The sequence below is a fragment of the Homo sapiens genome, chromosome 18 (genome assembly GCF_000001405.40).
Source record: "Homo sapiens chromosome 18, GRCh38.p14 Primary Assembly".
In the NCBI taxonomy this organism is placed as follows: domain Eukaryota; kingdom Metazoa; phylum Chordata; class Mammalia; order Primates; family Hominidae; genus Homo; species Homo sapiens.
In genome coordinates, this window is record NC_000018.10 from 2859582 (window position 1) to 2885690 (window position 26109).

Sequence of the window (26109 nt, forward strand, 5' to 3'; positions counted from 1 at the left end):
CACCTATTTATCTTTGTTTTTGTTGCATGTGCTTTTGCATTCTTGGTGATGAAGTCTTTACCTAAGCCAATGTCTAGAAGGGCTTTTCCAATGTTATCTTCTAGCATTTTTATAGTTTCAGGTCCTAGATTTAAGTCCTTGATCCATCTTGAGTTGATTTTTGTGTAAGGTGAGAGATGAGGATCCAGTTTCATTCTTCTACATGTGGCTTGCCAGTTATCCCAGAACCATTTGTTAAATAGGGTGTCCTTTCCCCACTTTATGTTTTTGTTTCCTTTATTGACTATCAGTTGGCTGTAAGTATTTGGGTTTATACCTGGGTTCTCTATTCTGTTCCATTGGTCTATGTGCCTATTTTTATACCAGTACCATGCTGTTTTGGTGACTATGGCTTTATAGTATAGTTTGAAGTCAGATAATGTGATGCCTCCAGATTTGTTCTTTTTGCTTAGTTTTGCTTTGGCTATGTGGGCTCTTTTTTGGTTCTATAAGAATTTTAGGATTTTTTTCTAGTTCTGTGAAGAATGATGGTGTTATTTTGATGGGAATTGCATTGAATTTGTAGATTGCTCTTGACAGTATGGTCATTTTCACAATACTGATTCTACCCATCCATGAACATGGTGTGTGTTTCCATTTGTTTATGTCATCTATGATTCCTTTTTTTTAATATACTTTAAGTTTTAGGGTACATGTGCACAATGTGTAGGTTCGTTACATAGGTATACATGTGCCGTGTTGGTGTGCTGCACCCATTAACTTGTCATTTAACATTAGGCATATCTCCTAATGCTATCCCTCCCACTTCCCCCAACCCCACAACAGGCCCCAGTGTGTGATGTTCCCCTTCCTGTGTCCATGTGTTATCATTGTTCAATTCCCACCTGTGAGTGAGAACATGTGGTGTTTGGTTTTTTGTCCTTGTGATAGTTTGCTGAGAATGATGGTTTCCAGCTTCATCCATGTCCCTACAAAGGACATGAACTCATCCTTTTTTATGGCTGTATAGTATTCCATGGTGTATATGTTCCACATTTTCTTAATCCAGTCTATCATTGTTGGACATTTGGCTTGGCTACAAGTCTTTGCTATTGTGAATAGTGCCACAATAAACATACATGTGCATGTGTCTTTATAGCAGCATGATTTATAATCCTCTGGGTACATACCCAGTAATGGGATGGCTGGGTCAAATGGTATTTCTAGTTCTAGATCCCTGAGGAATCGCCACACTGACTTCCACAATGGTTGAACTAGTTTACAGTCCCACCAACAGTGTAAAAGTGTTCCTATTTCTCCACATCCTCTCCAGCACCTGTTGTTTCCTGACTTTTTAATGATTGCCGTTCTAACTGGTGTGAGATGGTATCTCATTGTGGTTTTGATTGCATTTCTCTGATGGCCAGTGATGATGAGCATTTTTTCATGTGTCTTTTGGCTGCATAAATGTCTTCTTTTGAGAAGGGTCTGTTCATATCCTTTGCCACTTTTTGATGGGGTTTTTTGTTTTTTTTCTTGTAAATTTGAGTTCATTGTAGATTCTGGATATTAGCCCTTTGTCAGATGAGTAGATTGCAAAAATGTTCTCCCATTCTGTAGGTTGCCTGTTCACTCTGACGGTAGTTTCTTTTGCTGTGCAGAAGCTCTTTAGTTTAATTAAATCCCATTTGTCAATTTTGGCTTTTGTTGCCATTGCTTTTGGTGTTTTAGACATGAAGTCCTTGCCCATGCCTATGTCCTGAATGGATTGCCTAGGTTTTCTTCTAGGGTTTTTATGGTTTTAGGTCTAACATTTAAGTCTTTAATCCATCTTGAATTAATTTTTGTATAAGGTGTAAGGAAGGGATGCAGTTTCAGCTTTCTCCATATGGCTAGCCAGTTTTCCCAGCACCATTCATTAAATAGGGAATCCTTTCCCCATTGCTTGTTTTTGTCAGGTTTGTCAAAGATCAGATAGTTGTAGATATGCAGCATTATTTCTGAGGGCTGTGTTCTGTTCCATTGGTCTATATCTCTGTTTTGGTACCAGTACCATGCTGTTTTGGTTACTGTAGCCTTGTAATATAGTTTGAAGTCAGGTAGTGTGATGCCTCCAGCTTTGTTCTTTTGGCTTAGGATTGACTTGGCGATGCAGGCTCTTTTTTGGTTCCATATGAACTTTAAAGTAGTTTTTTCCAATTCTGTGAAGAAAGTCATTGGTAGCTTGATGGGGATGGCATTGAATCTCTAAATTACCTTGGACAGTATGGCCATTTTCATGATATTGATTCTTCCTACCCATGAGCATGGAGTGTTCTTCCATTTGTTTGTATCCTCTTTTATTTCATTGAGCAGTGGTTTGTAGTTCTCCTTGAAGAGGTCCTTCACAATCCTTGTAAGTTGGATTCCTAGGTATTTTATTCTCTTTGAAGCAATTGTGAATGGGAGTTCACTCAAGATCTGGCTCTCTGTTTGTCTGTTATTGGTGTATAAGAATGCTGGTGATTTTTGCACATTGATTTTGTATCCTGAGACTTTGCTGAAGTTGCCTATCAGCTTAAGGAGATTTTGGGCTGAGACAGTGGGGTTTTCTAGATATACAATCATGTCATCTGCAAACAGGGACAATTTGACTTCCTCCTTTCCTAATTGAATACCCTTTATTTCCTTCTCCTGCCTCATTGCCCTGGCCAGAACTTCCAACAGTATGTTGAATAGGAGTGGTGAGAGAGGGCATCCCTGTCTTGTGCCAGTTTTCAAAGGGAATGCTTCCAGTTTTTGCCCATTCAGTATGATATTTGCTGTGGGTTTGTCATAGATAGCTCTTATTATTTTGAGATACGTCCCATCAATACCTAAATCATTGAGAGCTTTTAGCATGAAGGTTGTTGAATTTTGTCAAAGGCCTTTTCTGCATCTATTGAGATAATCATGTGGTTTTTGTCATTGGCTGGATTATGTTTATTGATTTGCATATGTTGAACCAGCCTTGCATCCCAGGGATGAAGCCCACTTGATCATGGTGGATAAGCTTTTTGATGTGCTGCTGGATTCGGTTTGCCAGTATTTTATTGACGATTTTTGCATCGATGTTCATCAGGGATATTGGTCTAAAATTCTCTTTTTTTTGTTGTGTCTCTGCCAGGTTTTGGTATCAGGATGATGCTGGCCTCATAAAATAAGTTAGGGAGGATTGCCTCTTTTTCTATTGATTGGAATAGTTTCAGAAGGAATGGTACCAGCTCCTCCTTGTACCTCTGGTAGAATACAGCTGTGAATCCATCTGGTCCTGGACTTTTTTTGGTTTGAAATCTATTAATTATTGCCTCAATTTCAGAGCCTGTTATTGGTCTATTCAGAGATTCAACTTCTTCCTGGTTTAGTCTTGGGAGGGCATATGTGTCAAGGAATTTATCCATTTCTTCTAGATTTTCTAGTTTATTTGCGTAGAGATGTTTATAGTATTCTCTGATGGTAGTTTGTATTTCTGTGGGATCGGTGGTGATATCCCCTTTATCATTTTCTATTGCATCTATTTGATTCTTCTCTCTTTTCTTTATTAGTCTTGCTAGCGGTCTATCAATTTTGTTGATCCTTTCAAAAAACCAGCTCCTGGATTCATTGATTCTTTTGAAGGGTTTTTTGTGTCTCTATTTCCTTCAGTTCTGCTCTGATCTTAGTTATTTCTTGCCTTCTGCTAGCTTTTGAATGTGTTTGCTCTTGCTTCTCTAGTTCTTTTAATTGTGATGTTAGGGTGTCAATTTTAGATCTTTCCTGCTTTCTCTTGTGGGCATTTAGTGCTATAAATTTCCCTCTACACACTGCTTTAAATGTGTCCCAGAGATTGTGGTACGTTGTGTCTTTGTTCTCGTTGGTTTCACAGAACATCTTTATTTCTGCCTTCATTTCGTTATGTACCCAGTAGTCATTCAGGAGCAGGTTTTTCAGTTTCCATGTAGTTGAGCTGTTTTGAGTGAGTTTCTTAATCCTGAGTTCTAGTTTGATTGCACTGTGGTCTGAGAGACAGTTTGTTATAATTTCTGTTGTTTTACATTTGCTAAGCAGTGCTTTACTTCCAACTATGTGGTCAATTTTGGAATAGGTGTGATGTGGTGCTGAGAAGAATGTATATTCTGTTGATTTGGGGTGGAGAGTTCTGTAGATGTCTATTAGGTCCACTTGGTGCAGAGCTGAGTTCAATTCCTGGATATCCTTCTTAACTTTCTGTCTCGTTGATCTGTCTAATGTTGACAGTGGGGTGTTAAAGTCTCCCATTATTATTGTGTGGGAGTCTAAGTCTCTTTGTAGGTCTCTAAGGACTTGCTTTATGAATCTTGGTGCTCCTGTATTGGGTGCATATATATTTAGGATAGTTAGCTCTTCTTGTTGAATTGATCCCTTTACCATTATGTAATGGCCTTCTTTGTCTCTTTTGATCTTTGTTGGTTTAAAGTCTGTTTTATCAGAGACTAGGATTGCATCCCCTGCCTTTTTTTGTTTTCCATTTGCTTGGTAGATCTTCCTCCATCCCTTTATTTTGAGTCTATGTGTGTCTCTGCACATGAGATGGGTTTCCTGAATACAGCACACTGTTGGGTCTTGACTCTTTATCCAATTTGCCAGTCTGTGTCTTTTAATTGGAGCATTTAGCCCATTTACATTTAAGGTTAATATTGTTATGTGTGAATTTCATCCTGTCATTATGTTGTTAGCTGGTTATTTTGCTCATTAGTTGATGCAGTTTCTTCCTAGCCTTGATGGTCTTTACATTTTGGCATGTTTTTGCAGTGGCTGGTACCGGTTGTTCCTTTCCATATTTAGTGCTTCCTGCAGGAGCTCTTTTAGGGCAGGCCTGGTGGTGACAAAATCTCTCAGCATTTGCTTGTCTGTAAAGTATTTTATTTCTCCTTCACTTATGAAACTTAGTTTGGCTGGATATGAAATTCTGGGTTGAAAATTCTTTTCTTTAAGAATGTTGAATATTGGCCCCCACTCTCTTCTTGTAGAGTTTCTGCTGAGAGATCAGCTATTAGTCTGATGGGCTTCCCTTTGTGGGTAACCTGACCTTTCTCTCTGGCTGCCCTTAACATTTTTTCCTTCATTTCAACTTTGGTGAATCTGACAATTATGTGTCTTGGAGTTGCTCTTCTCAAGGAGTCTCTTTGTGGCATTCTCTGTATTTCCTGAATTTGAATGTTGGCCTGCCTTACTAGATTGGGGAAGTTCTCCTGGATAATATCCTGCAGAGTGTTTTCCAACTTGGTTCCATTCTCCCCGTCACTTTCAGGTACACCAATCAGACGTAGATTTGGTCTTTTCACATAGTCCCATATTTCTTGGAGGCTTTGTTCGTTTCTTTTTATTCTTTTTTCTCTAAACTTCTCTTCTCACTTCATTTCATTCATTTGATCTTCCATCACTGATACCCTTTCTTCCAGTTGATCGCATCAGCTACTGAGGCTTGTGCATTCGTCACGTAGTTCTTGTGCTGTGGTTTTCAGCTCCATCAGGTCCTTTAAGGACTTCTCTGCATTTGTTATTCTAGTTAGCCATTTGTCTAATTTTTTTTCAAGGTTTTTAACTTCTTTGCCATGGGTTTGAACTTCCTCCTTTAGCTCGTAGTAGTTTGATCTTCTGAAGCCTTCTTCTCTCAACTTGTCAAAGTCATTCTGCGTCCAGCTTTGTTCCGCTGCTGGTGAGGAGCTGTGTTCCTTTGGAGGAGGAGAGGCAATCTGATTTTTAGAGTTTCCAGTTTTTCTGCTCTGTTTTTCCCCATCTTTGGTTTTATCTGCCTTTGATCTTTGATGATGGTGACGTACAGTTGGGGTTTTGGTGTGGATGTCCTTTCTGTTAGTTTTCCTTCTAACAGTCAGGATCCTCAGCTGCAGGTCTGTTGGAGTTTGCTGGAGGTCCACTCCAGACCCTGTTTGCCTGGGTATCAGCAGCGGAGGCTGCAGAACAGCGGATATTGGTGAACAGCAAATGTTGCTGGCTGATCGTTCCTCTGGAAGTTTTGTCTCAGAGGAGCACCTGGCCATGTGAGGTGTGAGTCTGCCCCTACTGGGGGGTGCCTCCCAGTTAGGCTACTCAGGGATCAGGGACCCACTTGAGGAGGCAGTCTGTCCGTTCTCAGATCTCCAGCTGTGTGCTGGGAGAACCATTACTCTCTTCAAAGCTGTCAGACTGGGACATTTAAGTCTGCAGAGGTTTCTGCTGCCTTTTGTTTGGCTATGCCCTGCCCCCAGAGGTGCAGTCTACAGAGGCAGGCAGGCCTCCTTGAGCTACGGTGGGCTCCAACCAGTTCAAGCTTCCCAGACGCTTTGTTTACCTACTCAAGCGTCGGCAATGGCAGGTGCCCCTCCCCCAGCCTCACTGCCACCTTGCAGTTTGATCTCAGACTGCTGTGCTAGCAATGAGCGAGGCTTCATGGGTGTAGGACCTTCCGAGCCTGGTGCGGGATATAATCTGGTGTGTGCTGTTTGCTAAGACCATTGGAAAAGTGCAGTATTAGGGTGGGAGTGACCTGATTTTCCAGGTGCTGTCTGTCACCCCTTTCTTTGATTAGGAAAGGGAATTCCCCAACCCCTTGCCCTTCCTGGGTGAGGCAATGCCTCGCCCTGCTTCGGCTCACACTGAGTGTGCTGCACCCACTGTCCGACACTCCCCAGTGAGACGAACCCGATACCTCAGTTGGAAATGCAGAAATCACCTGTCTTCTGCGTCGCTCACGCTGGGAGCTGTAGACTGGAGCTGTTCCTATTTGGCCATCTTGGCTCCTTCCCCTCTATGATTTCTTTCAGCAGTGTTTTGTAGTTTTCCTTGTGGAGGTCTTTTACCTTCTTGGTTAGGTATATTCCTAAGTTTTGTTTTTGTTTTTGTATCTATTGTAAAAGGGGTTGAGTTTGTGATTTGATTCTCAGCTTGGTCACTTTTGGTGTATACGCTTTTGGTGTATATCAGAACTACTGATTTGTGTACATTAATTTTGTATCTTGAAACTTTGCTGAATTCACTTATCAGTTCTAGGAGCTTTTTGGAGGAGTTTTAGGGTTTTCTACGTATATAATCATATCATCAGCAAACAGTGACAGTTTGACTTCCTCTTTACAGATTTGGATGCCCTTTATTTCTTTCTTGTCTGATTGCTCTGGCTAGGACTTCCAGTACTATGTTGAATAGAGAAGTGGTGAGAGTGGGCATCCTTGTCTTATTCCAGTTCTCAGAGGGAAAGCTTTCAACTTTTCTCTGTTCAGTATTATGTTGGCTGTAGGTTTGTCATAGATGGCTTTTATTACATTGAAGTATGTCTCTTGTATGCCGATTTTGCTGAGGATTTTAATCATAAAGCAATGCTGGATTTTATTAAATGCTTTTTCTGCGTCTATTGAGATGATCATGTGATTTTTGTTTTTAATTTGGTTTATGTGGTATATCACATTTATTGACTTGCATATGTGAAACCATCCCTGCATCCCTGGTATGAAACCCACTTGATATGGTGGCTTATCTTTTCGATATGCTGTTGGTTTGGTTAGCTAGTATTTTGTTAAGGATTTTTGCATCTATGTTCATCAGGGATATTGGTCTGTAGTTTTCTTTTTTTGTTAGGTCGTTTCCTGGTTTTGGTATTAGGAGGATACTGGCTTTATAGAATGATTTAGGGAGGATTCTCTCTTTCTCTGTCTTGTGGAATAGTGTCAATAGGATTGGTACCAATTCTTCTTTATTTTATTTTTATTTTTTATTTTTTTAAGACAATAGTAGTTATTTATTTTGTTTGTAGGTCTTTATTTATTTATTTATTTATTTATTGATCATTCTTGGGTGTTTCTCGCAGAGGGGGATTTGGCAGGGTCATAGGACAATAGTGGAGGGAAGGTCAGCAGATAAACAAGTGAACAAAGGTCTCTGGCTTTCCTAGGCAGAGGACCCTGCGGCCTTCCGCAGTGTTTGTGTCCCTGGGTACTTAAGATTAGGGAGTGGTGATGACTCTCAACGAGCATGCTGCCTTCAAGCATCTGTTTAACAAAGCACATCTTGCACCGCCCTTAATCCATTTAACCCTGAGTGGACACAGCACATGTTTCAGAGAGCACAGGGTTGGGGGTAAGGTCACAGATCAACAGGATCCCAAGGCAGAATAACTTTTCTTAGTACAGAACAAAACAAAAAGTCTCCCATGTCTACTTCTTTCTACACAGACACGGCAACCATCCGATTTCTCAGTCTTTTCCCCACCTTTCCCTCCTCTCTATTCCACAAAACCGCCATTGTCATCATGGCCCGTTCTCAATGAGCTGTTGGGTACACCTCCCAGAGTGGGTGGTGGCCGGGCAGAGGGGCTCCTCACTTCCCAGTAGGGGCGGCCGGGCAGAGGCGCCCCTCACCTCCCGGACGGGGCGGCTGGCCGGGCAGGGGGCTGACCCCCCCACCTCCCTCCCGGACGGGGTGGCTGCCGGGCGGAGATGCTCCTCACTTCCCAGACGGGGTGGCTGCTGGACGGGGCTCCTCACTTCTCAGATGGAGCGGCTGCCGGGTGGAGGGACTCCTGACTTCTCAGATGGGGCGGTTGCCAGGCAGAGGGTCTCCTCACTTCTCAGACGGGGTGGCTGGGCAGAGACGCTCCTCACATCCCAGATGGGGCGGCGGGGCAGAGGCGCTCCCCACATCTCAGACGATGGGCGGCCAGGCAGAGACGCTCCTCACTTCCTAGATGGGATGGCGGCGGGGAAGAGGCGCTCCTCACTTTCCAGACTGGGCAGCCAGGCAGAGGGGCTCCTCACATCCCAGACGATGGGCGGCCACGCAGAGACACTCCTCACTTCCCCGACAGGGTGGCGGCTGGGCAGAGACTGCAATCTCGGCTCTTTGGGAGGCCAAGGCAGGCGGCTGGGAGGTGGTTGCAGCCAGCCAAGATCACACCACTGCACTCCAGCCTGGGCACCATTGAGCACTGAGTGAACGAGGCTCCCTCTGCAATCCCGGCACCTCGGGAGGCCGAGGCTGGCGGATCACTCGCGGTTAGGAGCTGGAGACCAGCCCGGCCAACACAGCGAAACCCCGTCTCCACCAAAAAAATACGAAAACCAGTCAGGCGTGGGGGCGCGCGCCTGCAATCGCAGGCACTCGGCAGGCTGAGGCAGGAGAATCAGGCAGGGAGGCTGCAGTGAGCCGAGATGGCAGCAGCACAGTCCAGCTTCGGCTCGGCATCAGACGGAGACCGTGGAAAGAGGAGAGGGAGAGGGAGAGGGAGACCAATTCTTCTTTAAATGTCTGTTAGGATTTAGCTGTGAATCCATCTGGTCCTGGACATTTTTCTTGTTGTATTTTCAAAATGCTAACATACATCTGTGATGTTTTGTGTTATTTTACACAATATGTCAGTTTGAAGGGAGTTTTTTTTTTTTTTAATCCTGTTTGGCTTTCTTCCTTAATCATTGATCCAATACCTTTAAAAGAACAAAAGTAAATATTAGACCTGAGTTCTCTATAGGCAGAAACAATTGGTTATGTGTCTGAAGAGTAATCTGATACATTTTTAAAAAACCAACTCTAGTTAAACCTACATTCTGAAACTTTGACAAAGACTTAATGATGCTGATTTTAGTTTCTATGTAATTGAAATATGTTATTGCATAGTCAAGAAAAGACTTCTCTGGTACTTCCCTTTCACAGATTTGAAGAGATTTAAAAATACCTTAATGCAGAAATTACATAGTTAAAAAAAAAAAAGCTTAATTGAAGTATAATTTACATGAGTAAGCCACATATTTGAAGTTGTACAGTTTAATATTTTGACATATATACCCGTGAAACCAACATCACAATCAACATATCCCTTGCTAATCTCTCCCTCCAGTTTCTCTCCACGTACCCCCTCCCTGGGAACTGCTGATCCACTTTCCCTCACTAGGGATAAGTTTGCATATTTTAAAGTTTTATGTAAATAGAGTCATACAGGTTGTACTCTCTTTTGACTGGCTTCTTTCATTGAACAGAAAGATTTTGAGATTCATTCATGTTGTAGTATGTATCAGTAGCTGATTTTTTTTTTTGAGATGGGATCTCACTATATTGCCCAGACTGGTTTTTGAACTCCTGGGCTTAAGTGATCCTCCCACCTCAGCCTCCTGAGTGGCTAGGACTCCAGGTGTGTGCCACTGCACCTGGCTGTAGTTGATTACTTTTTGTTGTTGGATAGATTCCTCTGTGTGTGTGTGTGTGTTTGTGTGTGTGTGTGTGTGTGTGTGTGTACCATCATTTGTATAGTTGCTGAAGACGTGGTGAAATACAGAGTGGGCAAAATAACTTTTACTGATAGTAAGGATACTTCTCGGAGTTTCTGAAGAACAACTGATATGGGAAATACATTACAGATATAGAACACTAGATAATAATGGACTAGGCATGGTGGCTCACACCTGTAACACGACACTTTGGGAGGCTGAGGCAGGTGGATCACTTGGGCTCAGGTGTTAGAGACCAGCCTGGGCAACATGGCAAAACCCAGTCTCTACCAAAAATACAAAAATTAGCTGGGCGTGGTGGTGCACGCCTGTGGTCCCAGCTACTCAGGAGGCTGAGGTGGGAGGATCGCTTGGGCTGGGGAGGTTGAGGCTACAGTGAACTATGATTGTGCCACTGCACTCCAGCCTACGTGACAGACCCTGTCTCAAAAGAAATAAGTAAATAAAAATAAAAACATAATGAAGTAAAAAACATTTCACATTTATAGCCCTGGAAAATGTTGGATTAAGGATTCATAATTAGCATAAGCCATTTTGAATTGTCAGAAAGCTCAACAGGCTTGAAAGAAGACTTATTATTTGAAGACTATTTGTTTCATTAAACAAATATTTTTGTTCAAAGCCTACATGTGGCCCAGAACTAGTTTCTACAGTGATACAGTAAGGATCTTTCTGTTGGCTTCTGGAAGTGCACATCTAGCAAGTGAATTGAAAGATAAACATAAATAATTACGACATAAAAGGTGGGAATGAGAATTGTAGTAAGAGAAACACAACGTGCTGGGGTGTTCAGAGGTAGAAGAAAGTTATTTCCAGCCAGGAGGAATCCGAGAACTTGTTTGCAAGTGGTGACGTCTTATGGCTTTGAAGGAAGCTTCTAGTTGAATATATGCAGATGTGAGAGAAGGCCAAGGTCAGCGTAAGCCAAGACACACGAGCAGGGACCTGGAGGTGGGTGTCCACAGGGGGTCGTAGATCAAGACATCAGCAGGGTTGGTTCTCCTGAGGGCTTCGAGGGAAGGATCTGTTCCAGGCCTCTCTCCATGGCTTGTAGATGTCCGTCTTCTCCCTGTGTCTCTTCACATAATCTTCCCTTCTGTGTGTGTCTGTCTCTGTCTCCAAATTCCCCCACCACCCTTTTTTTCTTTAGCTACCTGTTAACTAAATTTTCCCTGGTTTCTAAGGACACTAGACCTATTGGATCAGTACCCACTCTAATGACTTTGTTTTAACTTGTTTTAACTTGATCACCTCTGTAAAGACCCTATCTCCAAATAAAGTCACATTTTCCGGTACTGGGGGTTGGGACTCCAAAATATCTTTCTGGGGGGCACACAATTCAGTCCAGAACACTGTGGTTGGGAGTGTGGGCTTTCTTATCCATGCAGAGGAGGGTCATGAATGCTTTCATTGGGGACATCATCAAATTTGGGCTTTTCCCCCCTTTTTGTGGAGGATGGGGTCTTGCTATGTTGCCCAGCCTGGCCTCGAACTCCTGGGCTCAAGTGATCCTCCTGCCTCTGCCTCCCTAAGTATTGTGATTACAGGCGTGAGCCACCACACCTGGCAGGGACATCATCAGAGCTGTGCTTTCAAATGCTACCCAGCTGTGTGTGCAAAACGTACTTGGGTTGGGGGACCATGTGGGGTGAGGGGCACAGGAGGGACTCACTCAGGAGACTGGCAGTCCGTGCCAGAATGGAGGGGGATGCCCAGCTGGCAGTGGAGGGTGTGAGCATTGGGCCTGGGACCGCAGTTCCTCCTGCTCCACAGGTTCTGAGGACGTGGAGATTTGGCACTGAGCGGGGATCTGTGTGCTCCTCTGTTGAGGGTATTGCTAGAAAGGACCACGTGTTGCAAAAGAAGTTGAATTAGTTCATGGCCTGTCATTTGGAGGTTATGGCAGGATTGCTTTTATCTGAGAGACATTCAGGACCTCATTATTCATCACCTGATTGTCGGAAATTAACTATAACCCTTCATGTGGGCAATGGAGTCCATTATTACGGAGGTAATCCAAGTTTTTAGTTTTATTGCAAATGTTTGCCTTATGGTAAATAAATACATTGTATATAATTTTCATTTCTGTAAAGCTTTATTGTTTCAAAGCTTTTTCCTTTTTTATCCTTTCAATGTCTGGGGGGCAAAAGAGGAGCAAATGTTATAAATCTTAGTTGATATTTGAGGTAACTGAGGATTAGAGCAGGGTTGGGTCTTGTCTGATGTAACTGATCTTTGGCCAAGCTGGGACTAGTGCACCTCAGTTGTTATGGATGATAGAGATAAGTTTATTGTTCATATAGTTTCCATATCAGTATAATTGCTTCATATTGAATACTGACGGCTCAAGAAAGGCCGTGGTGCCTGGGTACCACCTGGTAGGCATCCAAAGGATGCTGCTGTTGCTCAATGAATGGATGAAAAAGCATGTGTTTTTAGCTTGTCTTTCCTTCTACTAAGAATCACGTGATCTGGGTTGGGTTTTCAATTTTCAGTCATGGAGACTATAAATTTGAACAACTGTCCATGGCTTGTATTTTTTAAATGGAATTGTGAGAGATATAGTCTTTGAAATTGGTTTTTTTAAAATAAAAAATTCATATGGGGTCCCACCATGTTGCCCAGGCTGGCCTCGAACCCTTATGCTCAAGCGAGCCTCCTGCCTCGGCCTCCCACAGTGCTGGGATTACAGCCATGAGCCACCATGCCTGGACTGAAAATGGTTTTTAATACTCGATGAAAAAGCAGTAGCTTGCAGCTAAAATGATGTGATACAGTAGGTTCTAGTTAAATCAACCAAAGTAATGATGTAAATTGTAATGTAGATTACTTACTTGGCAATCTCAGTGTGACCTTTACATGTTTTTTGCTAAGCTGTAAGTGACTCTCTGATCTATGACACAGCTTTCAAATTGCGAGGGTTCATGTCACGCCACTATAGAGAAGAGTTTGGTGTTACCAAGAGGATACAGTGACCAAAGATATAACTGTTGTTTGAAAAAGGTGAATACTAAACACATAGGGAATTATTTTAATATTAATTGTGTGGCTTCTTTGAGAATACCATGTCTGGTTTTATATTTTATTTGCAAAAATTGATTGAGGCAAAGTGAAGTCTTTTTGAGTCGTGGGCTAGCTTATGCCCATGTTTATTATTAAGAGGACAAGAAACACTGCTTAACCCACAGATCTTAAGTGTTTTATTTAAATAAAACAACAAAATAATGCAGATTATGTGATTTAAAAAAAAAAAACAAAACCAAAAACTTAATTTTAAAGAAATGGGAAGCAAGCCACCTATATTTAACACTTACAGGCCGGGGCCGGGCATGGTGGCTCATGCCTATAATGCTAGCACTTTGGGAGGCCGAGGCAGGTGGATCACCTGAGGTCAGGAGTTCAAGACCAGCCTGGCCAACATGGCGAAACCCCATCTCTACTAAAAATACAAAATTACCCAGACATGGTGGCACATGCCTGTAATCCCGGCTACTCAGGAGGTTGAGGTAGGAGAATCACTTGAACCCAGGAGGCAGAGATTGCAGTGAGCCAAGATTGTACCACTGCACTCCAGCCTGGGTGACAGAGTAAGATTCCGTCTCAACAAAATAAATAAATAGCTGGGCGCGGTAGCTCACGCCTATAATCCCAGCACTTTGGGAGGCCGAGGCGGGTGGATCACGAGGTCAGGAGATCGAGACCATCCTGGCTAACACGGTGAAACCCCATCTCTACTAAAAATACAAAAAATTAGCCGGGCGTGGTGGCGGGCGCCTGTAGTCCCAGCTACTCGGGAGGCTGAGGCAGGAGAATGGCGTGAACCCGGGAGGCGGAGCTTGCAGTGAGCCAAGATCGCGTCACTGCACTCCAGCCTGGGCGACAGAGCAAGACTCCATCTCAAAATAAATAAATAAATAAATAAAAATTTAAAAAATGGAAAAAATCGTGAACAGATGTCAGTTGGGTTCCTCTTCACCCCAAAAGTCTATATATGTGTCTCATTCCTCTTGAAGTACAGGAGTTGTAGCAGCCCCAAATCTTCCCTGTAGACGGGCAATTCCCAAGGCTTAGTGTCCTGCGGCCTCCTAAGTTCTGCGCTAGCTCTCTGAACCACTCTGGGTTGGCCGTGGTATCAAACCTTATACCCTCAAGTTCTCCAATAGAAGTACAGTCCCACAAGCCTGCATAAGCTGTGAGGACTTTACTGATGACTGTCAAAACACAAATGACTTAAAGGACATCATAGTTGTCACCAACCTTAAAAGTCCGTTGGCCACCCTGATTTGTCCTGGAGAAAAGCTCCTCTTTCCTTCTTACCCCCGCATGGCCACCTCCTCCATCACCGCTCCCGTTTAAGAGCAAATAAACACATTCATGTTGTATAATAGTATGTATTAGTAGTTGATTACTTCTTGTTGTTGTTTTTTTTAAGAGACAGTGTCTCATTATATTGCCCAGGCTGGTCTCAAACTCCTGGGCTTAAGTAATCCTTCCTCCTTAGCCTCCTGAGTGGCTAGGACTCCAGGTGTGCACCACTGCACCCAGCTGTAGTTGATTACTTTTTGTTGTTGGATAGATTCCTGTGTGTGTGTGTGTACCATCATTTGCTGAAGACATGCGGTGACATACAGAATGGGGAAAATAACTTTGCATCAGTTCTTCTCTTTATCTCGCTAAGCAGCCCCCTCCCCTCCTTGGTGCTGTCCATCCCTCCAGGCCTGGAGGTGGGTTGGGCTCTGGCACTTTTTTCCAGAAACACCATGCCCCTTCTGAGCAGAGTACAGGCGAATGAAAACATCTGCACCTCACTATGTGAAGTGTGAATTTCAAAAACATAGTAATACTGTGTTAGCCTGGACTATGGAAGAAATTTGAAACTAGGTTATAATGTTTGGGTCCTTTTCCTTCCATATGGTCATAAATTAGAACAGAAATATAAGTGTTCCTGTGTTTTCAAATCTAGATTTTTTAAAAACGAGAAGAAATTTTCCGAAAGGAAGAAACTATGTTTAAATCTGCAAAGAAACTCTTAATGTCTCCAGATTTTCGATGCTTCTGAGTGACTGGCACCGTTTACAGGCGTGGCCTGTTTAAGAGCTTGTCAGCATCTGTGGCCTTCACCCAAAGGTCTGAAATTGATTCCAAGTGGGATGTCACGGCCACTTCTCTTGATGTACAGGATCTAAAAGCAACACTGAGAACAGTGGATGGGCAGCTACATGCTGAAGTGTGGCTGGAGGATGTGGCACCTGGGAAGAGAAAGCACAGGGTGACCAAAGTCCTTGAAGAGGGAGGGGTGCCGGTGCTGCAAACCAGTGAAAGCCCAGGTCAAGGGAAGAGCAGGAGAAAGGATGTCAGTCATTCTTGTGACTTTTGTAGGAGAACTTGGGCCATTAAAAAAGAAAGGAAGTAATCAAAATAGAGTTGTTCAGCAGCTCTGAATAGAAAGGGTTGGATCACAAGTCCACGGAGGGAGGGTCGCTTCATGGTGAGCACCACGCTCATGGCTCAGGCCAGCAGATGTTCTCATGGCCGTGCCGTGGGAACACTCGGGGAGCTGATGAGGGAGGGATCGTGAGACCAGTGTTCTGTGATTCTGCCTCCAGGAATGAGGAAACATGATGTCTGTTTCAGAATGGGATAGTATAGAATGTATTTGGCTGAAACAGCCTGCAGCAGCAATGGCCCTCCCCAAAATAATTCTTTAGGAGGGTGTGTGGGCCTCCATCAAGTCTTCGATGGTTCAGCCATGCCAGTTAGCTAAGGCTCGTGGGATGCCCCACACTCACTCCCCACCTCCCCACGCTTAGGGCAGTGCCTTGAGTTTTGTGATGCGTCTCCCACAGTGGAAGGCATGCATGAGCTATATTTCAAGGGGTTGGGCGCAGCCTGCAGTTGGAGATGATGTCATTTTTAGCCATGTGAGTTTGCTCAGAAGGAAGGTACGGCTCTCCTAGCAAATCTAAGAATAACAACTTCACTGTCTGCTGCAGCCAAGTTGGGACCAAGCCTCGCAGCAGAGCTGCTGTGGTTTTCTTTCATCACCTTTCTTTTGGACTGTAGAATAGTTCTGTCTTTTGGGATATGAGGGGTGATAAATTGTGGGGAAAACTTCTATTCATTACCCTATATGATCAGGGCAAAAATACTGAGAAGTGAAAAGGATTTTAGATTTTTTTTTTTTTTTTTTTTGAGATGGAGTCTCGCTCTGTCACCCAGGCTGGAGTGCAGTGGCGCGATCTTAGCTCACTGCAACCTCTGCCTCCTGGGTTCAAGCGATTCTCCTGCCTCAGCCTCCTGAGAAGCTGAGACAACAGGCGCGTGCCACCACACCCAGCTAATTTTTTGTATTTTTAGTAGAGACGGGGTTTCACAATGTTAGCCAGGATGGTCTCGATCTCTTGACCTCGTGATCCACCCGCCTCGGCCTCCCAAAGTGCTGGGATTACAGACATGAGCCAACGCGCCCGGCCAGGGTTTTAGATTTTAAAAGCTAGCTTGTTACTCTATGTGATAAGGAAATTAATTCAAGAGGAAATGGAAAAATAAGCAGCTTACAATTGTGATTTCTCCAGCAGATATATCTTTTGTACTGGGAAACAGTCTCCTGTAGAATATTTTCATTTTGAACACACTGCATTGGTCTTAGATCTGTTATTTTAAAAATACGTACAAAGCACCAGGCGCGGTGGCTCACGCCTGTAATCCCAGCACTTTGGGAGGCCGAGGTGGGTGGATCACAAGGTCAGGAGATCGAGACCATCCTGGCTAACACGGTGAAACCCCGTCTCTACTAAAAATACAAAAAATTAGCCGGGTGTGGTGGCGGGCGCCTGTAGTCCCAGCTACTCGGGAGGCTGAGGCAGGAGAATGGCGTGAACCCGGGAGGCGGAGCTTGCAGTGAGCCAAGATAGTGCCACTGCACTCCAGCCTGGGAGACAGAGTGAGACTCTGTCTCAAAAAATATATAGATATATGTACAAAGCTACATTGTAATCTGATTTTTATCAGGGCTCTTCAACCTTTTAGATTCACTGGATACATTTTGTGTTTCAGAAATATATTTGCCCGAGCATTCTGGCTTTTAGAATTTAGATGAATTTTCCTAAAAGGCCAAGTGAAATATTTCACATTTCTTTGCTTTCATGTTATTAATTTCTCCATGTAGAGATCTGATTAAAATATGTGATGTAGCAGAAAGAGATAAGATGAAAATTCTGATTTTGGCATTTGATGTGCTTTAAGCTGCAAGAAGGTCCTTTGGTTCCTTGACTTTATCTGGAGTGGGAGACTGTTTCAGACTGTGGAATGTTTGCATTGGAAGGGATCTCCGGGGTCAGAGTGCACCTCCTAACATGCAGAGATTGGCTTTATAGATGCACATGGTTTCAAATGGCCAATTTTTGACTGTCAGTAGGACAAAGTAGATTCAAATGGGAAATGTTTCTTCCACTGGACAGAACTACTTTTCCTTCGACCTAGTTTTGAAATCACTTCCTATTTCAGACTTTATAGCCTCTACTGCCCAACATGTTTAGCAAAGTGTCAATAAATATAAAAAGCCCTCTTTTTTTTTCTCATACCACATCGTCTAAGACAAAAGCTTATTTTTTATTCATTGACTGACAGTTTTTTTTTTTTTTTTTTACAAACAAAACATTTGTCATAAGTAGTTTCTAGAAAATCAGTCTACTGGCTGGGCGCGGTGGCCTGTTATCCCAACACTTTGGGAGGCTGAGGTGGGCGGACCACCTGAGGTCAGTAGTTGAGACCAGCCTGACCAACATGGCAAAACCCCATCTCTACTAAAAATACAAAAAATTAGCCAGGCGTGGTGGCCTGCACCTGTAATCCCAGCTACTCAGGAGGCTGAGGCAGGAGAATCACTTGAACCCAGGAGGTGGAGGTTGCAGTGAGCTGAGATCGCACCTCTGCACTCCTGCCTGGGTGACAGACTGACATTCCATCTCAAAAAAAAAAAAAAAGAAAGAAAACCAGTCCACTGTCTTGCGAATTTCTAAATTAGAACACTGAAGTCAACTTTGTAAAAGTGAATTGCTGTGTAAAAAGGAAGGAAATTCTGACACACTGTGACCTGGATGAGCCTTAAGGACATTACGCTAAGTGAAATAAGCCAGTCGCAAAGAGACAAATACTCTATGATTGCACTCAAATGAGGTATAAGAGTCATCAAATTCATGGAGAATGTACAGTGGTGGTTTCCAGGGACTGGGGGCAGAGGGGAATGGGGAGATGGTGTTTAATGGGAACAGACTTTCAGTTTGGGAAGGTGAAACAGTTCTGGAGGTGGTTAGTGGTGATGATTACATAACAACGTTAAGTGTGCTTAACACCGCACAATTGTATGCTTAAAAGTGGTTAAGATGCTAAATTTCAGGTGGCCGGGTGTGGTGGCTCACACCTGTAATCCCAGCATTTTGGGAGGCGGAGGCCGGCAGACCACCTGAGGTCAGGAGTTCGAGACCAGCTTGGCCAACATGGCAAGACCCTGTCTCTACTAAAAATACAAAATTTAGCCAGGTGTGGTGGCAGGTGCCTGTAATCTTAGCTATTTGCGAGATTGAGGCAGGAGAATCACTTGAACCCTGGAGGTGGAGGTTGCAGTGAGCCGAGATCACGCCACTGCACTCCAGCCTGGGCAACAGAGTGAGACTCTGTCTCAAGGAAGGAAAAAAAAAAAAGAGGCTAAATTTCATGTTATGTGTATTTTACCAAAACTTGAAAAGAATGAATTACTGTGGCTGGAATGAACTGCTCTGTGGAAACTTAGTGCAGTAGCGGATTCCGGGTAACCCAACCCAGTCTGCCCTGTGTGAGAATTGGAGTCTTCTGGCAATGCTCATTTTCCTTCTTTGGGGCAGGCAGTTCTTCCCCCCTGCCTGGCTAGGGTACTTCCTACCATCCCTGGGGAAACACCTCCTTTCTGGTTTCTTCCTCCATCCTCCCGGCTCCGTTCCAGTCAATACTGTGTTCCCACACACATGAATGGAGCAAGAAGAGCTGGCTCCAGGCCTCTGGGGGCAACCAATGACTGGAAGGAGAGGGATTTACTAAAAGTCGGCTCTCCAGAGAAATCCCATTAAGCGAGTGTCCCCAAGGGGGCAACGGGTTTTGGTTCTGTGCAGTTTTAGTAGCCTGTGTCAAAATAAAACCCAGGTCAGTGCTGTAAACACAAGGCAAGGAGCCTTGCCTTGTGGAGCAGCTGGCGAGATGGTCCCCTGGGATGATTCCCTCTGGGACATGTGGGTATTTTCAGGGAAGATTCCATTCGTAGGTCTGGAATGGATGTCGGGGGAGAGAGAAGATGGGTTGATGGGGGTTAGGGATCAAGACGTGAACAGATGCGCGCCTGCTGCTGATTACTCAACAGTCTCATGAATCCCCAGCGCAGCCCTGTCAGGTAGAATATTCTGCGATGATGGAGATGTTCACGCTGCCCAACACTGCAAGTGCGGCCACTGGCATTTGTGCTGTTAAGTCTGTGAAATACACTAGTTTGACTGAGGAACAAAATGTTCAATCTTAATTGGTTTAAATGTTAACAGCCATGCCAGGCGCAGTAGCTCATGCTTGTAATCCCAGCCCTTTGGGAGGCCAAGGCGGGCGGATCACCTGAGGTTGGGAGTTCGAGACCAGCCTGACCAACATGGAGAAACCCGGTCTCTAAGAAAAATACAAAAAAATTAGCCAGGCGTGGTGGCACATGCCTGTAATCCCAGCTACTAGGGAGGCTGAGGCAGGAGAATCGCTTGAGCCCAGGAGGCAGAGGTTGCAGTGAGCCAAGATCGCACCACTGCACTCCAGCCTGAGCGACAGAGAGAGACTCCGTCCTCCCTGCCCCCAACACCCCCCCCAAAAAAAGAAAGTTAAGTATATTAATTTGATTGATTTATTTTTTGAGGTATGGTCTCTGTCGCCCAGGCTGGAGTGCAATGGGTGTGATCATGGCTCACTGCAGTCTCAAATTCAAGGGCTCATATGATCCTCCTGCGTCAGCCTCCCAAGTAGCTGGGATAAGAGGTGTGCATCACCATGCGTGGCTAACTTTTAAAGATTTTTAGTAGAGATGAGGTTTTGCTATGTTGCCCAGGCTGTTCTCGAACTCCTGAGCTCAGCAATCCTCAGTCCTTGGCCTCCCAGAGTGCTAGGATTGCAGGCATGAGCCACTGTGCCCAGCCTAGTATATTAATTTTTAAAAATGGGATGTTATAGTGAACAAAACCAACAGGAATTCTATCCTCATGGGGCTTACAGTCTGGCAGGGAGGACAAACACGGAGTAAGCAAACACAAGTGTGAACTGAGGCGTGTTATGAAGGAGGTCTCAACTTGAGTCAGTAGAAGGAGTCTTTGTGGGGGTGACATCAAGTGGAGGTACTGTCATTTTGTTTTAACAGGGACACTTCCAGTCATATGGTCCCTGGACGCTGACACAACTTTTCCAGGACTTTTTTTTTTGACACCTTCCTTCTCATTAGAATCTCCTGGGCCAGTCTAGTGTCTTGACACGGTTGCTGAACCCATTAAAATGGGAAACCCTTGTTTTCACCTCCGAAAAGGGTTTTAGAGGAAGAGGCGGGCAAAGGAGACTTGGCTGGAATGGGGGAGAGTTCACAGGGGCGAGGCGGCAGGGCGACAGGCCCAGGGTTACAGCCCCAAGGGCCGCCCCCGCCCATACCCAAGGCACCTGTGGACGGGGCTCTCCAGAGGGCTGGGGCACCATCACAGTCACAGCCGAGGCTGGGAAGGGAGCCAGGGCTGCAGCCGAGTCCGCCCCTCCAGCGCTGCGCAGCCCCGCCGCCTTAACTTTTCCTCTGGCTGCGGGTCCCTCGGCTTGGCCACCCCCACACTGCAGTTAGTTGACTGATTCTGTATCGAGTGAGCATCTCCCGTGTGCTCACAGCCCGGGGCCCCTGGGGATGCTTGGGCCGCCTGTCTCTGTTTCATGTCCCCTGCCTGGTCCTCTTAGGAGGGTGGCCGATTCCCTGAAGGGAGGAAGTGGGTCCTGGGTCTGGGGCTTTTCCACTTTGGCTGCACTTGACAACGACTTGGGGACTTTTAGAAAGGTACGAGCACCCTCCACCAATTAAGGTATAATTTTGCTGAAAATTCCTTGGCATTTTCTAAAGCTCACTAGCTATTTTCCTGCAGTGCCTTGGGTGATGAAGAGGGTGACCCAGAATCCTCCTTTGTTGCTCCCCATCCTCTAGGAAAGCTTCTAGCTGGCTACTGTCTTAGTGGGAACCCCTTTCTGCTGGGAAAATCCCAGTAGGGATTTGGGATTGGACAACCCTTTCATCTCCACCTCCCCCTGAGCTCCCAACTGAGCCCGAGGGCTGACTAGCAGGGCCCAAGGCCACCTCTGAGATCCAGCTTTGTCATCGTCATGCGACATCCCTAGGGAGCTTTCTCACCGCAGGAGGTGGCTGCTGATGGATTCCAACTGTTGATGCCAGCCAGGAAGTCCTCTTCCCCATGCTAGACTTGAAAACTTGTCAGGAGCGCCTCAACCTGAACTCCCTTGGCCAGAAACTCAACAGCAGGCAGATTAGACGCGGAGCAGGAGTGGGGAACATGTGTAGAGTGGGAGGGGTGGGGGCTCCAGGCTCCAGGGAACTTTCCTACATTAGGAGCTGGGGAGCTGGCCCCAAAATAAAATTGCCTTGAAAGAAAAGAACAAAGTGTGTTGGCACAGCAAGGCCTTTCTTCCGCTCTGGGGCATGACAGAGGTCACAGCCCGCTGCTGGGCTGGAGTGGGGGCCGTTCCTCTTCAATGGGCACAGGAGTGTGCTCTGCCTGGCCTGGCTCAGCCTCCTCTGAGACAGCTTCATGCAGGCCTGGGCCGTCATCTCCTGGCCGATGAACAAAACCCGAGAGCAAACACATTTCACATTCAGTCTGAATGCTCAGAGGAACCACGTTTTTCTGAGATTACACATTCTTCCAGCATTATGCTCTACTTGAGAACGCAAAACAATCCAGCGCAATGATGCTTTCTTCCCTTTTTACATTTTCAAGGACCACACAGAGGACTCCTGCTAGGTGGTGGTGGGGACCGAGGGCTGGTGTGTACCTGGCCACGGGTGGGATGCTCAGGAATGGGTTGGCCGAAGTGGGGGTTGCCTACCTTCTTACCCAGCCCTTAGGGCCTTCTGGAACATCTCCAGGTGGGGCCGCTTCCTCCAATGTAAGGCATCGCCTGAGAGAACGGCTGTGTGGGGTGCAGGGAGGAGGCTTGGGTTTAACGGCCCTGCCCCTTCCGGGCTGTTTGAACTTGGATAAGTCGCTTAACCCCATGAGCCTCTGTTTTCTCACTTGTGAAAAGGGGAAAATGTATAGTAGGGCCTTGGTGGAGGTGGACAGCAATGAGAGAAGGAAGAGCCTGGAAGGTCTTTCCTCTCCTCATCCTCCCAACTGCCCGAGCAGCCCTTGTTTTTCCATTTTACTACCAGGCTTCCTCTTCAGTTTTCCTTGGAAAAGGCTCTCTGGAGCTTTCTAACATCTGCATGCCTGGCTGCCACCCCAGACCCCTTAAATCAAAACCTCTGAGGGTGAGACCCAGGCGTGGGTATTTTTTCACAGTTTCCTGGGTGATTCTGATGGCTCAGGCTAAGAACCACTGCCCTAAAGATCAAGGCAAACAGGCCGGGTGTGGTGGCTCATGCCTGTAATCCCAGCACTTTGAGGTTGGGGGATCACTTGAGGCCATGGGCTCGAGACCAGCCTGGGCAACATAGTGAGACCCTATCTCTTAAAAAAATTTTTTTAAATTGGCTGGGCACAGTGGCTCACACCTGTAATCCCAGCACTTTGGGGGCTAAAGGGTGGGTAGATCACCTGAGGTCAGGAGTTCAAGACCAGCCCAGCCAACATGGTGAAACTATGTCTCTACTAAAAATACAAAAAATAACCAGGCATGGTGGTGGGTGCCTGTAATCCCAGCTACTTGGGAGGCTGAGGCAGGCGAATCGCTTGAACCCGGGAGGCAGAGGTTGCAGTGAGCCGAGATCGCGCCATTGTACTCCAGCCTGGGCAACGAGAGTGAAACATCATCTCAAAAAAAAAAAAATATGACCCAGGCATGGTGCCTGTAATCTCAGCATTTTGGGAGGCCGAGGTGGAGGATCACTTGAGCCCAGGAGTTTGAGGTTGCAGTGTACCATGATTGTACCACTGCACTCCAGCCTGGGCGACCAAGTGATACTTATCTCTACAAAACAAAAAACACAACAAAAACCAAAGGAAACAGGGACAGTGGAAGGTGCTAGGAGGTCTAATGGGCTTGGCGGGTCCTAGCTGTCGGCAGGGCCCTCTTGGGATTCTGCAGGGTGCCTAGCCAGTCCCAGCGGGGTGGATCCTATACCCAGAGTGTAATTGTCAGTGTGTGACCCTCGGGGAGGATGTCAAAGGTCCAGCACATGATTTGTGCTTTCCTCAGGGAGGTAACTTTGAAGTCCACCTGCCACAGGGCTGGTGCTTGGGAGGGAGTTGCTTTGCTGGGTAACCCCGCTGCTGCTATTGTCCCGCCTCCCCCCATGGGCAGCTCTCAGCAACCCTGAAAAAGTGACACTCAGCCTATTGCTTTCTGGGAATTGGCTCAAGAAGAAGGCCAGCTGCTGGTGCTGGTGTAAGAAATGAAGAGGAGCTGAAGAGCTTCAAGAGAGATGATTTGCAAGGCAGGAAATCACAATTGGGCTGAAGTAGGGAGGCCCCATCCTGTGTGGCTGTGGCTTTTGCCTGTGCTGTGAGCAGGGGCCGCTGCGGGGGCTGAACTCCTGGCTCCTTCCCTGGTGAGCCCGGGACTGCAGGGCTGTCAAAGTCTGTTGTGGGCCCAGGCCCGGCCTTGAGTCTGGAGGACTTTCCAGCTCACTGCAAAGCTCTCTGTGTGATATTCCAGGGCATGAGGGGATGTGCACTGTCAACAGGACTTTTTGAGTGCTTCCAATTCTGCTTCCTGATTTCTGTCATTGACAGTATGAACCAGGGCATCTTTGTAAAAAGTGGACACAAATAGTGTGAGCTGCCATCTGCAAAAGCTGGTGGCTACCTTTGCTAGCATCAGGAAAGGGAGGTGCAGCGGTAAACACACAGACATGATGGAGAGCAGGGTGCCAGGGATGTTTCTTTCTTTCTTTTTATTTTTTTTGAGTTGGAGTCTTGCTCTGTCACCCAGGCTGGAGTGCAGTGGCGCGATCTCGGCTCACTGCAAGCTCCACCTCCCGGGTTCACGCCATTCTCCTGCCTCAGCCTCCCAAGGAGCTGGGACTACAGGCGCACGCCATCACGCCCGGCTAATGTTTTTGTATTTTTAGTAGAGACGGGGTTTCACCGTGTTAGCCAGGATGGTCTCGATCTCCTGACCTCGTGATCCGCCTGCCTCGGCCTCCCAAAGTGCTCAGATTACAGGCGTGAGCCACCGCGCCCAGCCTCTTTTTCTTTTTTTTGAGACAGTCTCGCTGTGTCTCCCAGGCTGGAGTGCAATGGCGTGATCTCAGCTCACTGCAACCTCCGCCTTCTGGATTCAAACAATTCTCGTGCCTCAGCGGTAGCTGGGACTACAGGCATGCGCCACAACACCTGGCTAAGTTTCGTATTTTTTGTAGAGACTAGATTTCACCATGTTAGCCAGGCTAGTCTCGAACTCCTGGCCTCAAGTGATCTGCTGGCCTCAGCCTCCCAAAGTGCTGGGATTACAGGCATGAGCCACTGTGCCCGGCCAGGAATATTTCTTTAAAACACAAAACAAAACAATCTCTAGTGACACCTGAAACAAATCCCCACAAACTGAATTGTAGAACAGAAGTTTGGTGAAACAAAAGCTCAGTTTGGGGGCTGAAAAGTATCCTTCTCAAATGGGAGTCTTGGTGGAGATTTTCTAAGCTGTGTGTTCCCCTTGCTGGGAAACGGGTGCTCAGGGCAGGTGGAGGATTGGGGAGCCCCTGCCTTCCTGAGGCTGATCTGAGTTAGGCTGAACCCCCCAGTCAGATCTGGACTGAGGAGACCAACATCCCCTCTGGGCCAGCCTGGAGAGCAGGCAGGGTCCTGCATGCCCTGAGTCCTCTTTATTTGGGTCTAGCGCCGGAAGTTGCTTGTAACGGCAGCCAGTAAAGAGAGATGCCATCCCTTCTGTCCACAGGTATCGAGTGAACTTCAGACCTAGATATGTCACTAGGTATAAGACAGTGACACAGTTGGAATGGAGGTGCTGTCCTGGCTTTAGAGGGGGAGATTGCCAAGAAGGTCCCAAAGACCCCGTGAAGACCCTCCGCCCCACGCCGGCTCGGCCTCGAAACAGCTTGAAGAAAGCCACAGGTAACTTCTTATTTGTGCTATTATGTATGGCCACCTTTAATATTTCCGGTGCTCCTTCAAACAACAGGATTTGTGCTTTACAATGGTGAGCTTTGAATGGCCTTCGAATAACACACATAGATACCTGCAGTAGCCACATGTGACAAATTTATTCTCAGGAGCAGTAGCAATTGTAAGACAAACTTCCTTGCAAGTAAATTGCTTTGCTAGGGCCAGCTTGTTGTGAAAGCCAATGCCTTAAACATCAGGGTAGGAAATGCCAGTGGGTTCAGACTTGTGTCACCTGGAGGCACAGCTGTGAAGAGATTCAGATGTAATGATGTACTGTTTGTTTTTACTTGGGCCCATACATCTGAATTTAGGGGGGTTAAAATTGTTTTTTATTTTTTATTTTTTTGAGATGGAGTCTCGCTCTGTCGCCCAGGCTGGAGTGCAGTGGCGCAATCTCGGTTCACTGCAACCTCTGCCTACCTGGTTCAAGCAATTCTCCTGCCTTGGCCTCCGAGTAGCTGGGATTACAGGCGCCTGCCACCATGCCCGGCTGATTTTTG

General features: G+C 45.9%; 1 protein-coding gene across 5 annotated transcripts in view; it reads left to right on the forward strand.

Moving 5' to 3' along the window:
- EMILIN2 (elastin microfibril interfacer 2) overlaps positions 1-26109 on the forward strand; it is a 69772-nt gene that overhangs the window by 13350 nt on the left and 30313 nt on the right. For all 5 annotated transcript variants that reach the window (XM_047437884.1, XM_047437886.1, XM_047437885.1 and 2 more), the window contains exon 3: positions 25383-25558. In XM_047437884.1, the coding sequence (XP_047293840.1) occupies positions 25383-25558 (176 nt within the window). The remainder of the gene's footprint in view (positions 1-25382; positions 25559-26109) is intronic.